The sequence below is a fragment of the Homo sapiens genome, chromosome 15 (genome assembly GCF_000001405.40).
Source record: "Homo sapiens chromosome 15, GRCh38.p14 Primary Assembly".
In the NCBI taxonomy this organism is placed as follows: domain Eukaryota; kingdom Metazoa; phylum Chordata; class Mammalia; order Primates; family Hominidae; genus Homo; species Homo sapiens.
The window spans coordinates 80,753,145-80,769,426 of record NC_000015.10 but is presented as its reverse complement, the minus strand read 5'-3'; the positions used below and the strand labels follow the sequence as shown (position 1 = coordinate 80,769,426).

The 16,282-nt window shown below is 40.5% G+C and overlaps 1 protein-coding gene across 1 annotated transcript in view; it reads right to left on the bottom strand.

Moving 5' to 3' along the window:
• Positions 1-13,805: 13,805 nt before the first annotated feature.
• The window catches only part of ABHD17C (abhydrolase domain containing 17C, depalmitoylase), a 60,312-nt gene continuing 57,835 nt past the window's right edge, over positions 13,806-16,282 (bottom strand). The window contains exon 3 of the mRNA NM_021214.2: positions 13,806-15,276. Coding sequence (NP_067037.1) covers positions 15,057-15,276 — 220 coding nt within the window. The 3' untranslated portion in view covers positions 13,806-15,056. The remainder of the gene's footprint in view (positions 15,277-16,282) is intronic.

Here is a 16,282-nt window from a genome sequence, read left to right as displayed (position 1 = left end):
ATCAGGATCCCTTTCCAGTAACAAAAGTGCTGGGATTACAAGCATGAGCCACTGCACCCAGCCTTAGAATATGCATTTCTAACGAGTTTCCAGATGATGCTGCTGGTCTAATGACCACACTCTGAGAACCACTAGAATCCAGCATGATAGGATTGGTACTTAATTATTGGTTAAGAAAATACTTACAAAAATAGGATCCTAATGAGTACAAAAATGCTGTAAAATGAATTTATAGAATGGCTTATTAATCATTTACATTAGAAAAGAACCATCAATATGTAGGTGAAATATATTTATTTCATTTACAGATAATGGTTAGAAAGTATAAATTCCAGGATATATTGCAGTAATTCTTCCTCTCTTCTCCTCCTCTCCTTTTCCCTACCACCTGCCTACTTCCCAGAAATTTGTGGCCCACTCCATCTTGGGTAATCTCATACCAGATATTTGTCAAGGAATCTCCTAGTTTTGTGATTCTGTATTTGTTGCAGGTCCTGCCTGGGCACATGAACTCTTCTAGTCAAAGTATAAGCCACGTCAATAAGCTGATGTAATTTGCAAATACAGGAGGCAAGCAAGTTTATAAAACAATTGGTTTGTAGTGTTTGTGTTTCTGTATGTCTCTGTGTGTGTGAGAAAGACTGACTTGTGAAATTACCCTAAAAGTGTTCCCCTTTACATCAGTTGAAGTGTTGGATACTGTCAGGCCATTCTAGTTCTTTTAAAATAAACCATTTTGCTGGAGAAATATACGCTGTCTTCAGAAGAAAAGCTGTGCACGCTTGTGTTTGCATTGCAACATTCTGAGGGGAGGCCACTGGTTCTAAATATGTGGAAGAGAAATGAAAACACTTCCTGTGTTTCTAAAGATAACAATTTTTACAAAGAAAATACTTACTAAAAAAAAAAAAGTTAAAAGCCAAGGCATACTGTTATACACAAAAGCCATTCTTATGCATGATTCAGGGCCTGGAACGAATCAAGTTTCAGTACACATTGAATGAATGATGCCATTTCCCATACATTTCCAAGAGGCTTTTTATTAATGTGCTCATGTGGAAAATCCCTTCAGTAAAGAATAAAATGTTCTGTTTCTCCAGATGATAATAGCTAGTATTTATTGAGATCTCAGTATGTTCTAGGCTCATATAATCCTCACATTAATATTATGAGGTAAGTAATAAATCATCCTTACTTTACAGGTGAGGAAGCACAGAGAGGTTAAACAATGTCCCTGTGACACAGCTAGTAGCAGGTGGAGCTAAAATTCAAGCTCAGGTAAACAAATGCCATAGATACATGTCGAACCACCATACCCTCATCCTCCCAAACGCCTAAAGATTTGATGCCCTTAATCACTTTCTCAGCATGTTTTTTTGTTGAGAAAAACAAAATGTGTGTAATACACACTATAAAGTGTGTACTACAATTTAATTTTTTTATTTGCTCACTTGTTTATTGTCTGTTTCCTCTACTAGAATATAAGCTCCAAGAGGACAGGAGCTTTGTCTGTTCACTGCTGCATCCCCAGAACCAAACTGAGTGTTTAGAACCAGAAACATTTATTGAATTAATGAATGCATGAGTAAATTCTATCCATCAGTCAGCCTGGCAAATAAGGTCTGATTAAAAGAATGTGGGCCAGGCGCGGTGGCTCACGCCTGTAACCCCAGCATTTTGGGAGGCCGAGCCAGGTGGATCACCTGAGGTCAGGAGTTTGAGACCAGCCTGGCCAACATGGTGAAACCCGGTCTCTACTAAGAACACAAAAATTACCTGGGCATGGTGGTAGGTGCCTGCAATCCCAGCTACTTGGGGACCTGAGCCAGAAGAATCGCTTGAACCAGGGAGGTGGAGGTTGCAGTGAGCTGAGATCATGCCACTGCACTCCAGCCTGGGCAATAGCGCGCGACTCCGTCTCAAGAAAAAAAAAAAAAAAGAATGTGTATTATATTATATTTTTTATCATTCCTTATGCACCAAATGGTCCTTTTCCCCCCCCCGCCGAAAGACACGGTCTCAATATGTTGTGCTGGCTGGTCTTGAACTCCTGGCCTCAGGCGATTGCCCAGTGACCTCAGTCTTCTCTTTTTTAATGGTTTTTATTTTATTTTATTTTTTATTTTTTTCTTGAGACAGAGTCTCGCTCTGTTGCCCAGGCTGGAGTGCAGTAGCGTGATCACAGCTCACTGCAACTTCTGCCTCCCAGGTTCAAGTGATTCTCCTGGCTCAGCCTCCGGAGTAGCTGGGACTACAGGCACCCACCACCACACCCGGCTACTTTTTGTGGTTTTTCAGTAGAGACAGGGTTTCACCATGTTGGCCAGGCTGGTCTCAAACTCCTGACCTCAGTTATCCATGCACCTCGGCCTTCCAAAGTGCTGGGATTACAGGCATGAGGCACCGTGCCTGGCCTCTGTCTACTCTTTACATATATCTTTTCTTAAATGATTCTGAGAAGTTGATGGTGCTGAAATGGCTCATATGGGAGTGGCAAGAAATTAGAAACTGATTAGAAGCTTCCTAATTAGAAACTAATATGTCAACTGGGATATCACTGGGAGGAAGAATCAGTAAATAAAATTCTCTTCAAAGGACAAATGGAGAGAATATATTGATCGTATATAAAGGATTTGTGTCCAGAATATATAAATAATTTCTTCAAAAAAGAAAAATATAGAACTCTATCAGATAAGTAGTCAAGAGTCATGTACAGACATTTTGCAACGTAGAACTTACAAATGACCATATGTTTCTGAAAAGTTGCTTATTCTCATGTGTAATCAAGAGCATAACATTTCACATCCACTATTTGGGCAAAAATTTACAAAGTTAGAGGATGCCATGTGTGGATAACTAGAACGCCCATCCTCTGTTGGTGGGAGGGTAAATTGGTGCCCCTCCTTTGGAAAATGACTTGGCATTACCTGGTGAAGCTGAACAGGCAGATCCCCAGTGACTCAGCAATACTCAGATGGGGCCATGGACCAGCAGCAGCTGGGAGCTTCTCACAAATGCAGAATCTCAGGTCCTACCATGAAGCTACTGAGTCAAAACCTGCATCCCCGGGTGATTTGTGTACGCACTGGAGATTGAGAAGCCCTTTCTGGAGCAGTGGCTTTCAATCCCTAAGTGCCCATTGGAACCCCCTCCAGACTGATTAAATTGGAATCTCTGAGGGTGGCACCCCAGGCATCAGCACTTGCAAATGCCTCTCAGGTAATTTCAGTATGTTGCCAACATTAAGAACCTTCAACCAGAAGTCGCTCACATTGTAAGATGTACAAAACTCTTTAATAGCGAAAGCCTGGAAGACAACCTAAATGTCCACCAACAAGAGATTGCATAGACTGGGTGGGGTGGCTCACACCTGTAACCCCCGCACTTTGGGAGGCCTAGGGGGTCAGATCGCTTGAGCCCAGGAGTTTGCAATCAGCCTGGGCAATATGGTGAAACCCGTCTCTACAAATAATACAAAAAAATTAGCCGGGCATGGTGGCATGGGCCTGTAGTCCTAGCTACTTGGGAGGCTGAGGTGGGAGGATTGATTAAGCCTGGGAGGTCAAGGCTGTAGTGAGCTGAGATGGTGCCACTGCACTCCAGCCTGGACAATAGAAAGAGATGGTTTCTCAAAAAGAAAAAAAAAAAACAGATTGCATAGAGTATATTTATACAATGCTACACAGCTATGAATATAAATAAACTAAACTACAGCTGTATGGATTAACATCGACAAATCTAAAAGGCATCATGTGGAGTAAAAGAAGAAAGCAAAAAGGCCAGGCGCGGTGGCTCACGCCTGTAATCCCAGCACTTTGGGAGGCCGAGGTGGCTGGATCACAAGGTCAGGAGTTCAAGAGCAGCCTGGCCAAGATGGTGAAAACCTGTCTCACTAAAAATACAAAAATTAGCCGGGCGTGGTGGCACATGTTTTAGTCCCAGCTACTCGGGACGCTGAGGCAGGAGGATCACTTGAACCCGGGAGGCGGAGGTTGCAGTGAGCGGAGATCATGCCACTGCACTCCAGCTTGGTGGACTGAGTGAGACTGTGTCTCAAAAAAAAAAAAAGAAGAAGGAAGCAAATGAAGAGTACAGCAGTAGGATTATACTTGTACAAAATCTTAAAGAGCAGATTATATAACATGCATACATACACATACATATGTGATATATGCATATGCACATATATACATATACATATATCACATACATTTTTACTATATAGAAAAGAAAATGAGTGAGAGGAAATTCAAGATAGAGGTTATTCTGGAATACAGGAGGAAAGAGAATGTGATTGGGGAGAACGGGAGAAAGTGAGTTTCTAAAGTCCTGGTAATATTCTATTTCAGGTTCAATAGTAGGAATATGGGTTCCCCCCCGCTTAAACTGTAAAAATATCTGTTATCCACTTCTTTAGATAAAATGTTAAAATTTTAAATTTAAAAAAAAGTTGTTTAAAGGGCATCTTTCCTGTAAGTTCTTCTGAGCCCCCTTCTTAAATGTAACTCAGGCTTCATCAAACATCCTTCTCTGCTCTCTTCTGAGCTGGCTCCCCCGGCCCTTGCTTTGATACCAGCATAGAGAGGGTCCACTTCTTTCCCAAACTGGCTTTTTATTTTAGGGACCCTGGTCCTCTCCAGGTCCCATCCTGGAATGTGCTGGAGGGGCTCAGAAGCCACGTGTGTCTCACAGACCTATCTGCAGGGCACGTGGGAGCCTGAAGAAGGGAGGTCTGGGGGAGTGGGATTCAGACAGAAGACAGTATCTGTGTAGGTCTGGAGGCCCTGGGCCCATCTCCACCCACACCCAGACAGAATCAGACAGGGCCAGGTATGAACAAGCTGGGGCCAGCCAAATGGTAAATCATTTAGCAGCAGAGTAATGATTTTAAGTAACAACCTAGTGAGGGCACAGACAGGGTAAACTGTCTTACCCAAGAGTTTTCAAAGGTTTTCTGTTTTGTTCTAAACCCAGACCTCGCCCATCCATTTAATGAGAGGGTCCAAGCCTCCATTACCTCTTGCAAGGCATTTATTTCTGCCTACAGAATTTCACCTGATCCTTACTTGACTGTGTAGTCAAGGAATTACTACCATTTCAGAGATAAGGGACAGGCCCAGAGCTGTTAAGAGATTTGCCCAAGGTCACACAGTTCCCATGGCACAAAAACTCCCAGCTACACCTGCTGTCTCTGCATCCAGGACTCCATCACTGTCTTGTCTTCTTCTGGGCTTATAAACACTTCTACACTCCACTCTGGTACATCCAGAGACCCCCTCCTTACTCAAAGAGCTCTGACAAACTCATGCCTCTCTCTGGGATTGACTGTGGGATAAATCCGAGCTCCTTAACCTCTCCATAATCTTCTCTCACAGTTCTCAGAGGCCAAAAATATTGATTTTTAAAGAACCTGTAAATACCGTCTAGTTCTGTGTTCTTAATCTTTCAGAATCATTGATACCTTCTGCTGGAACTGTGGATTTTCTCCCCAGAAAAATGCCCATAGGTACAGGCATCCAAAGTATGGCATGCAGTTTCAAAGGGGGTCATAGATCCCAAGACTCCTGTTAAGAATTGCAGATTAGGCCAGGCGCAGTGGCTCACGCCTGTAATCCCAGCACTATGGGAGGCCGAGGCGTGTGGGCCCGAGCTCAGGAGTTCAAGACCAGCCTGGCCAAGATGCTGAAACCCCGACTCTACTAAAATACAAAAAAAAAAAAAAAAAAAAAAAAAAAAATTAGCCAGGTGCGGTGGCAGGCACCTGTAATCCCAGCTACTTGGGAGGCTGAGGCAGGAGAATTGCTTGAACTCAGAGGGCGGAGGTTACAGTGAGCCAAGATTGCCCCACTGTACTCCAGCCTGGGTGATAGAGTGAGACTCCATCTCAAAAAAAAAAAAAAAAAGAATTGCAGATTAGCTTGTCAATGACAGACTGGATAAAGAAAACGTGATACGTGTACACCATGGAATACTATGCAGCCATAAAAAGGAACACAATCATATTCTTTGCAGGGACATGGATGAAGCTGGAAGCCATTATCCTCAGCAAACTAATGCAGGAACAGAAAACCAGACACTGCACATTCTTACTTATAAGTGGTAGCTGAACAATGAGAACACATAGACACAAAGAGGGGAACAACACATACTGGGGCCTACCAGGGGAGGGTGGTGGGGAAGGGGGAGCATTGGAAAAAAGAGCTAATGCATGCTGGGCTTAATACCTAGGTGATGGGCTGATAGGTGCAGCAAACCACCATGACACAGGTTTACCTGTGTAACACACCTGCACATTCTGCGCATGTACCCCAGAACTTAAAAAACGAAAAAAAAATTGTTTAAGAATTACAGATAAAATATGGTGGTTCCTCAAAAATTAAACATAGAATTACCATATGATCCAGCAATTCTATTTCTGGGTATATACCCCAAAGAATTGAAAGCAGAGTCTCAGACATATTTGCACACCCATGTTCATAGCAGCACTATTCATAACAGCCAAAAGGTGTAAATAACCCGAATGTTCATCAATGGATGAAAGGATAAAGAAAATATGGTTGATATGGTTTGGCTCTGTGTCCCCACCCAAATCTCATCTTGTGGCTCCCATAATTCCCACATTTTGTGGGAGGGACCCAGTGGGAGATGATTGACTCATGGGGGTGGGTCTTTCCCATGCTGTTCTCGTGATAGTGAATGGGTCTCACAAGATCCGATGGTTTTAAAAACAGGAGTTACTCTGCCCAAGCTCTCTCTTTGCCTGCTGCCAACGATGTGACTTGCTCTTGCCTTTCGCCATGATTGTGAGGCCTCCCCAGCCATGTGGAACTCTAAGTCCAATAAACCTCTTTCTTTTGTAAATTGCCCAGTCTCTGTTATGTATTTATCAGCAGCATGAAAATGGACTAATACAGTGGTATATACATACAATGGAAACTTATTCAGCCTTAAAAAGGAACAAAATCTATCACATGAAAGAACCTCGAGGACATTATGCTAAGTGAAATAGGCCAGACACAAAAGGGCAAATACACTTAATGATTCCACATACATGAGATACCTAGAGTGGTCAAATTTATAGAGACAGCAGAATGGTGGATGCCAGGGGCTTGGGTGACAGGGGAATGGGGAGTTAGTGCTTAGTGGGTACAGAGTTTCAGTTTGGGATGATGAAAAAGTTCTAGAGATGGAGAGTGGTGATGGTTGCACAACAATGTGAATGTACTTAATGCCCCTGAACTGGCACACCTAAAAAAGGTTTAAAAGGTAAATTGTATGTTATGTATGTCTTACCATACACACATAAAAGAACTGCAGATGGAATGGACCCCTTACTTCACACATGAGGATTCTGAGGTCCAGGCAGTGGCCAGGGTCTCTGGCTGAAAAGGAACAGGGTCAGGAACAGGCGGGCCTCCTGCACCAGGGCTGCTTCCTGGCCCTCTGCCTGGAACCCATCCAGCAGGGCAAGCTCCGGGCAAGTTCCAATGGGAAATGCCTGTGTCTCCTGTTGAAATCCCAATGGGCAAAGCCTCAGGTGGAAGTATTAGAGCTGGACAGAGTGAAATGCCGTATTTATATGCACTTCATTTATTGGCTGCATAACCCTTACACACAGCGGGAGGCGATTTACCCCGAATATTTGTTCTCTTTAGTAAAAGCAACATTTTCTGGGGGAGTTAGATAGTGCCATCCAGTGGTGTTCCAGAACAACTTATGATAACAAAGGCTCTTACTGACACCATTTTATATAACAACTACTTCACATGAATCCTGAAGAATGGGTTTGGGCATTCCTCTTTATAAAGGCATATTAAGGAGACACTTAGAAGGCCAGGTGTGGTGGCTCATGCCTGTAATCACAGCACTTTGGGAGGCCGAGGTGGGAGGATCACTTGAGGCCAGGAGTTTGAGACCAGTCTGGGCAACATAGTGAGATCCCCACCTCTAACGAAAAATAAAAAAATTAGCTGGGTGTGATGGCACGCACCTGTGGTCCCAGCTGCATGTGAGGCTGGGGCAGGAGGATTGCTTGAGCCCAAGATTTTGAGGCTGCAGTGAACTGTGATTGCACCACTGTGCTTCAGCCTGGGTGACAGAGCAAGACCCTATTTCTAAAAAAAAAAAAAAAAAATTTTAAGATTTTCAAGATACATTGTTATGTGATAAAAGTGAATACCAAATAGTTCGTGTGTATGACTTCCCGTCACTGCTTCCTGCACCTCCTCCACACCCCCAAACTTGGACAAACAGCTGGCTACGCACCAAAATGTTAACAGATGCACATTTCTGTTGATGAGATTCAACTGCCTCTCTCTCTTTTTTTTTTTTTCTCTTTTAAGAGGCAGAGTCTCACTCTGTCGCCCAGGCTGTAGTGCAGTGGCATGATCATAGCTCACTGCAGTCTCAAACTCCTGGGCTCAAGTGATCCTCTGGCCTCAGCCTCCTGAGTAGCTGGGATTACAGGTGCAAGCCACCACGCCTAGCTCTTGAAAATATTTCCATGCCACTAAATACTATTCTATGGCATTCTCTTCTATGGTTGCAGAGTAATTCGTTGTATAAACATAATAATTAAATCCCTATGGCTGAAAACAGATTGTTTGCGAGCTTTCACTGTTGCTAAGAGTAGAGCAGTAATTATCCCATATAATTCTATCTCATCTTGATTATTTCCTAAGGCTAAATTCCTAGAAACAATTAGTTAGATTAAATGGACATTGTTAGGATTTTGAGTCAAGGTGTACTTTAGAAAGTTTGTACCTATGTGATATATAAAGTTAGCAGCATCATTTTAGAGAACCCATTTATCTACACCCTCATCACCAATGGGTATTATAATTTAAATATTTATACCAAGTTCATAATTTAAAATGGAATTTTACTATTTAAATCTGTAGTTGTTTGCTATATTTGATTATTTAATTAAATCTATATGATTATTACAGACAACAATCTCTTATGAACAATCTCTTCATGTCCTATGCTCTTTTACACATGGAGTGTCTCAATCATTGGATAACTAAGTATATTTTTACATTATCTATCATATGCTTTGTAATGTTTTACCCCAAATTTGTCATTAGAGTATGCTATTTTTACTATGAAAGTTTTATATTTTAAATAAACCAAATCTAAAAATTTATTCCTTTGAGGTTTCAAGATTCATTTTGTCACCAATTATTTTATTAATCTGTTATTAATTCTAAATCATCGTTCAATTGTTTCTCTTGGGTGTTACTGCATGAGATATACATATCTCATTCTTTTTTTCTTTTTTTAAACCATTTGATTTTACTTTATTTATTTTTTGAGACAGGGTCAGCCTCTGTCACCCAGGCTGGAGTGCAGTGGTGCAATTTTGGCTCACTGCAACCTCCCAGGTTCAAGCCATCCTCCCAAGTAGCTGGGATTATAGGCATGTGCCATCATGCCCAGCTAAATTTTTCTTGTCTTAATACATGGCTATAACTTCTGGAATTATATGAACCACAAAGAAACTATTTATATTAATAATATAATAATTATTAAGTATATTAATGATAACTGCGATGTGCAGGGGAGTACAGAATATGAAGACAGCTCTTGGGAGGGGCATTAACCTAGAGTCGGGTGTCAGGCAAGGCTTTCTACACTACAGAATTGGAAGGATGGAGGCTTTTGAATCTTGAAATTTCTCACGTGGAATTCTTTATTCTGGTAAGGTATATACTCCACCTTTTTCATCTTCAATTATTCTGGCTATTTTTGGCCCTTTGTTCTTCCATACAAATTTCAGAATCACACATTTCTAGAGTCAGAATCCAGAAACAAACCTGTTGGGATGTTGATTGAATCATATTAACCCCACAGATCTATTTTGGAAGCACTGATATATTTAAGTAGTGAGACCTCTTATCCATAAACATGGTATATCTCTAATTTAGGTCTTCTTTAATGTCTTTCAAAAATAACTTTTTCTCCTGAATGTGTCTTGTGCATGGTGTGTTAGTCTCAGGTATTTAATGTTTTTTAATACTATTGTAAGTGGCATTTTTCTTTTCTATGGCTTATTAAATATTTTTCCTGATTTATGGAAATAAGGTAGATTTTTGTATATTGATTTTGTGTCTAGCAACCTAAACTCTTATTAAATCTAATAATTTATAGATACTTTCAGGTTTTCTACATAGACAATCATAACCTGAATAGTTTTTTTCATTTATTTTTATAATTTTTATTAAGGTATACTTTACATATAAAATCTATCCATTTTATATGTACATTTGAATGATTTTTGACAAGTTTAGTGAGTTGTGCAACCATCACAATAGTTTGGATTTAGAGCATATTCACTGCCTCTTCTTTTCCATGTCTTATATCTTTTTACCTTTTTGACCCTACTGAACTTGCTAGAATTTTTCGTGTAACTTTGAAGAGAGTGAGGGTAGTGGATATTATCTTTAATTTCCAATCTAAAGTAGCATAAGGCTTCTGATGTTTTGCCTCTTGGTATAATGCTTATTATGTTTTGGGATAATCTCTCTATATAAAAGTTTCCCCCTATTCCTTGTTTAATAAGTGTTTTGGTTTTTTTAACTTAAATGGGACATTGAGTTCCAGAAAATGTTTTCTCTGTGTCTATTGAAATGATCCTACGAATTTGCCCTAAAAGAAGATAGTTTCCAAGTAGATCTCCTGCCTTGGAGGGCGCTCTAGGTTTTGTTCACTGCTCTGAGATTCACCAGACTGGAAAACCAGTGTTCAGATTAAACGAGTCCAGCAAATTCCTTCAAAGAGAAAACTAGTTTCAGTGCTTCTCCTTCCTGTCAGTTCTTATCTTTATTTTGCATTTGGCCTGCACACAGGTCTTATTTTCTTGACAGTTCATGCATCTGTTTAGATTTTTACCATTTCATTCAGTAACTGTTTTCAGTGGAAGGGGTGGTTCACATCCCAGGACCATCACAAAGCAGAAAACAGAAGTCACGAGATCTTCTAGGTTCATTATTGCACTGAGTATGTTTTCTGTGTTACTATTCTAAGTGAGGTACTATTGTAAGTGAGGTCTTTTGGCCATGATATTTCCTAACTAGTTACTACTAGCAAACAGAAAGTAACATTATCTCCTAATGCTGTGTTTGTATAACTCGAATTTGATCATGCTGTTTGTTCTTTTGATAGAGGATTGATTTTGCAGTATTTTGTTTAGCACTTTTGCCTCTGTATGTGAGCTCCACTTTAGTCTCTTGAGTATGAATGGATGTGCGCATGCACGCACCTTTAGAACTGTTAATATACTATGGAATTATTTCTTAATAGTTTGAAGGAATTTATTCTTATAACTGCCTGGGCCTAGTATACTTTTTGGAAGATAATCTGGTGCTTGCTTTCCCCTAGTTCTTCAAATGTTATCATTTTATTCTCTTTTGAGAGCTTCATCTTAAGTAGCTCTGCTGCCAGTAATACAATTTACAGTGCTTTACAAAGCACAAAATGCCGGGCGTGGAGGCTCACACCTGTAATCCCAGCACTTTGAGGCCGAGGTAGGAGGATCGCTTGAGGCCAGGAGTTTGAGACCAGCCTGGGCAACATGGCGAAACCCTGCCTCTACAAGAAAACATAAAAATTAGCCAGGCACGGTGGCTAATTTGGGAGGCTGAGATGGGAGGATTGGGAGGTTGAGGCTGCAGTGAGCCATAATCACATCACTGCATTCCAGCCTGGGCAACAGAGTGAGACTCTGTGTCGAAAATAAAGCAAAAAATGGACAGTATTTGCATAGCCATGATTTCATTTAATGACTATGTGCCCTACGTGTGGTCAACAAGGGGTAAAAAAAGCATCAGAGGCCCAGAGAAATTAGGGAACGAGGTCAAAATCACTCAGCTTGGATACAAAGACAGATTAGATATGGTCCTAATCCTCCCTCTGAAAAGGCTCACCTGAAAAAGACTAGAACAGACAGACCCTCTTCATGTGTTTGCACTTTCAAGTCCTAGTTCTAAGATAGGGCAGTAGCAGGTACCTATAGAAAGGGGAGCACTGAGAGAGGGGGCATTCAGTTTTCAACTGGAACCCAAGGTGATCCCTCACATTAAGAAGGGATCCTTCTTGTTCTGTGCAGGCTAATACACTTGTGATCATTTCCTGAAGTGATCAAGGCCCCGAAGTCTATAGATTCTATATTTCTCCTCCACACACCAAGAGTCACAGAAATGTTCCCAAAAAGAGTATTTTGACAATTCATTTGCCCTTTCAAACCTTTGATTTTCACATTCAAAATTCAGTCTTGAACAAGAGTGCTAACAGGTTTTTTTTTTGTTTTTTAAACTATAGACTCATTCTATTTTGAGACAGTAGCAATCATTCCATTCTTGTTTTCAAAGGATGCTACAATCATTTAAATTAGGATTTGAGATTCTCATGCGATTATAATGAGTGATCCAAATCTGTATTACTCTGCTTAATTTTAGGGATCATAAAGCATAATAATCATCAACAGAATGAATAATAATACGGTCACAATATCTTGCTCTGAATGTTACTTCTAGGCTTTTAATAGTTATAAACGGATTTCCACAAGCGTAAGGCACGAATTCATATATTAGAAACAATACATATACCTTCTCTATACTTTGCAAGGACTTCAGGTAGCCACTTAATTTTTCCTTCTTGACTAGGGAGAAAGAAATAGTAAGGCACTCAGAAAGGAGACGCATCCTCACTTAGTGGAAACCAAACACCTGGAATCCGGCCCCAGGTCTGAATGGAGAACAGCTCTAGAAAAAGCCTGCAGCTCAGGAGGGGTGTCTCTCAGAAACCAATAGAGGATTTCTCCCTGGGGTTCCCACTGTTACCACACATGCAATTCTCAGAGGAATGCCGTTCCCATGCCAAACCCTGGCAAAAGTTGGAGAAACTTCCCTCCTCAGTTTTGGCAAAGCACGAGCTGCTTCCAGTGGATACAAACCATCCACATCAAGTGACAAAACCAATGAAGCAAAAGGCTTTGCCACCTTAGTTTCTGTTATTGTCAATCTTATCATTTCCCGATATTTGGCTGATGAAAAGAAATTTACTAAATAGTTTAGGAGAAAAAAGGGGGGTAAGGATTACAGAAGATGCAAGCAGCACACAAATAGAATCAGAAATCAGGTCTCTGGCAACCCTGACCCGCTGGTCTCTGGCCCCAAAGGCAGGTCATTGCTTGTGCTTTTTCCTACCTAGGTCTCCCAGACTTTTGGGACAGGCATCACCACTGGAGCTTTGCTGATGCCCCCTCGGGTAAGCCAGCCCCACCCACCTGATTCAAGATCAGGAAGTAGCTGGCATATGCATGCATTCACATGTGCATACTCATGTCTTCACACCTTCCTGACCACCACTTCCTCCTAATGCACCCTTAGGAGAGTGCGTTCCAAGAGTTGAAAACTAGCATCCCTCAGCTGCTCTTTTCTGCTCAGCTGGTCAAAGGGCTGAAAACTATGGAACACACCTGTTTCAGGCTTCCCAACAAAAGAGGCACTGTCCTTCCTCTGAGCCAGGTCACAATGAGGTCACCTTCATCAATTTTGTTTCATAGCCAGAATCCACTGCATCCTCTATTTAGATATCATCTGCACTTTACTGCTATATGCTTTATATCTTGGCTTCTTCCAAAAGTAATCCAAGGCCTTTTATAGAACAAAACCATATACCTTGAGAAAGATGGTGCAGTTTGAAAGCCTCAAGGTTTTCTTCCTACATTACGACAAAAAGTTGTTTTCTTATTCACTATTTTCTTTGATGGAGAGATGAAGAAAAAAACTGCACAAGCCCACACATTCTGATCCATGCATCCTTTATTCCATTACCAACCACTGTGCCGCATCCAAGCAACAGTACACAAACTGGCAATCAACCGCAGTCCAGTTGTACAACGATCTGAGGCTTACAGTACATTTAAGGCTTTTAAATGTGGAAAAAAAAATTAAAACCAAAGAACCCCCAAATCCAAACCCCTAACCAACACAAGTAGTATAGCAATGTTAAGCATCTCCTATTTCTGATGCTTATTTGGCGCAACTTCCAGTGTCAAAACCCAAATAATTCCTAAACTAAAAAGATTAGTTTAGTGAAATTTTAATTACATAAATTCTTCAAAGCATAAACTTGGAATTTTTGTCTTGGAAATGTTATAAAATTTTTAATAGCAAAACATAGGAATAAAAACATATTAACAAAATGTATTCAATCATTTACATTACAAACAAGGAATCTGCAGTTCATTGTTGTAGCCTGACAAAAGAAATCATATCTACCATTAAGAATCTATGCACAATGTGATTGCAAATATGTACAGTACTTTAAAAAAGCCTACAAGGAGGACTTTACAGAAGGAAAGTCAGCTAGGCTCTTTGTTAAACCAACCAGACAATCAAAATAGTAAAACTCTGTTGGCTAGTAATAAATTTACACTTAAAAAAACCCCTAGTTTCTTTTTGTTTAAGAATATTCCAGTTATATTTATATGGTTACAGTTGATGAAGCTGTACACGAGAGTTCCAGTAAATTACCCTTCAGTTCATTTGTCCGGGAAAGATCAGCATGTTAACAAAAAATAATAAAGGAATTTTCACCACACTAGCTTTCCAGTTACACTATCACAGCTTCACAAATGGATTGAACCCATGTATCCAGTGGCAGAAAGAGAGCTGCATGTGAAATACCGAGAACATTGGTGGCAACAGGGCAAGTCCTGCATGAATGTCAGAAATGATGGATAAGGTTGAGAAACAGATGCGAGGCTACTTTATACAGCACTAGAAAATTGTCCCTACATTCAGCTCTCATTCCCATTCCTGCAAGGTAATGAAGCTGGGAATCACGACTGTTCAGTTTAACGTGTTGTGTGAATTAGCAGAACCACCTCTAGATACAAAAGACTGAGATTTCATCAGCTCTTTGATTAGAACACCCTAAAGGTTGGGCACTTCTTCATGGTTATCAAGCCTTTACAGCTACCCAGTTAAAGCATGTGCAAAACAGAGGACTCTTCTGTTCACAGTAAATGAGGTAAGATCAAGTTGTTGTCTTCAGGAATTAGGAAGTTCGTGAGATATGAACTGTTTTAGTCTTTCTAGGTATTGTGCATAAAGCTCTATGTCATTATGCCCAGCCCCTTCAACCCAAAGGGGCTCCACGGCTCGGGGACAGCGCTCGTACATCGCTAGGCCATGGGAGAAATCGATGACCTCATCCTCTGTACCATGAATGACCAACACAGGAGAGGTGACTTTAGATATCTTGTCAATGCTGCAAAACAGAAAGGGGGGAGGCAGAAAGAGGACTCCATTAGTTATGCTCACAGATAATACACATCACATTTAATGATAAGTTAATAATCTCCACAGGCAGGGAAATAACACCGTGGGTTTTTTTTGTTTGTTTTGTTTTGTTTTTAAATTAAGGACTTTATCTTTTAAAGCAGTTTTAGGTTCACAGCATAACTGAGAGGAAGGTACAGAGATTTCCCAGATACCTCCTTGTCCCCACACATGCACAGTCTCCCCAATTATCAATATCCCCTACCACAGCAGTACCTTTGATGAACCTACATTAACATATCATAACAGTTTGGCTTTTTCTTGCTTTATTTTTTTCTGGTAATTTAGTTTTTTTTCTTAAATCAACTTTGCATTTTAGAATAATTTTGAATTTGCAGGAAAGGTGTAAAGATAATACAGTGTATACAAAAATCAGCCAGGCATGGTGGTGCATGCCTGTAATCTCAGCTACTCGGAAGACCGAGGCAGGAGAATTGCTTGAACTAGGAGTGGGAGGTTGCAGTGAGCTGAGATCGTGCCACTGCACTCCAGCCTGGGCAACAGAGTGAGACTCTGTCTCAAGAAAAAAAAGAAAAGAAAAGAAAACAAAACAAAAAGATAATACAGTGCCCTGACATACTCCTGACCCATTTCCTGTAAGGTTAACATTGTACATTACCGTGATACATCTGTCAAAACTAAAACACCAACGTTGGTGCATTACTATGAACTAAACTCCAGACTTTATTTGGATTTCACTAGTTTTTCCACTAATGTCCTTTTCCTGTTCCAGGATCCAAACAAGAATACCACACTGCAATTGGCTGTTGTGTTTGTTGAAGTATTTTATTAAAGACAGACCTCTTCAGAGCATCAGACTAGCAAACTAGCAACTACTATTTTTTATATATTATCTTTATATTACTTTTAGATTTTTTTATATTTATATATTATTTTTCAAGAGAATTTTAAAAAGGGCCAGAACTTAACATATC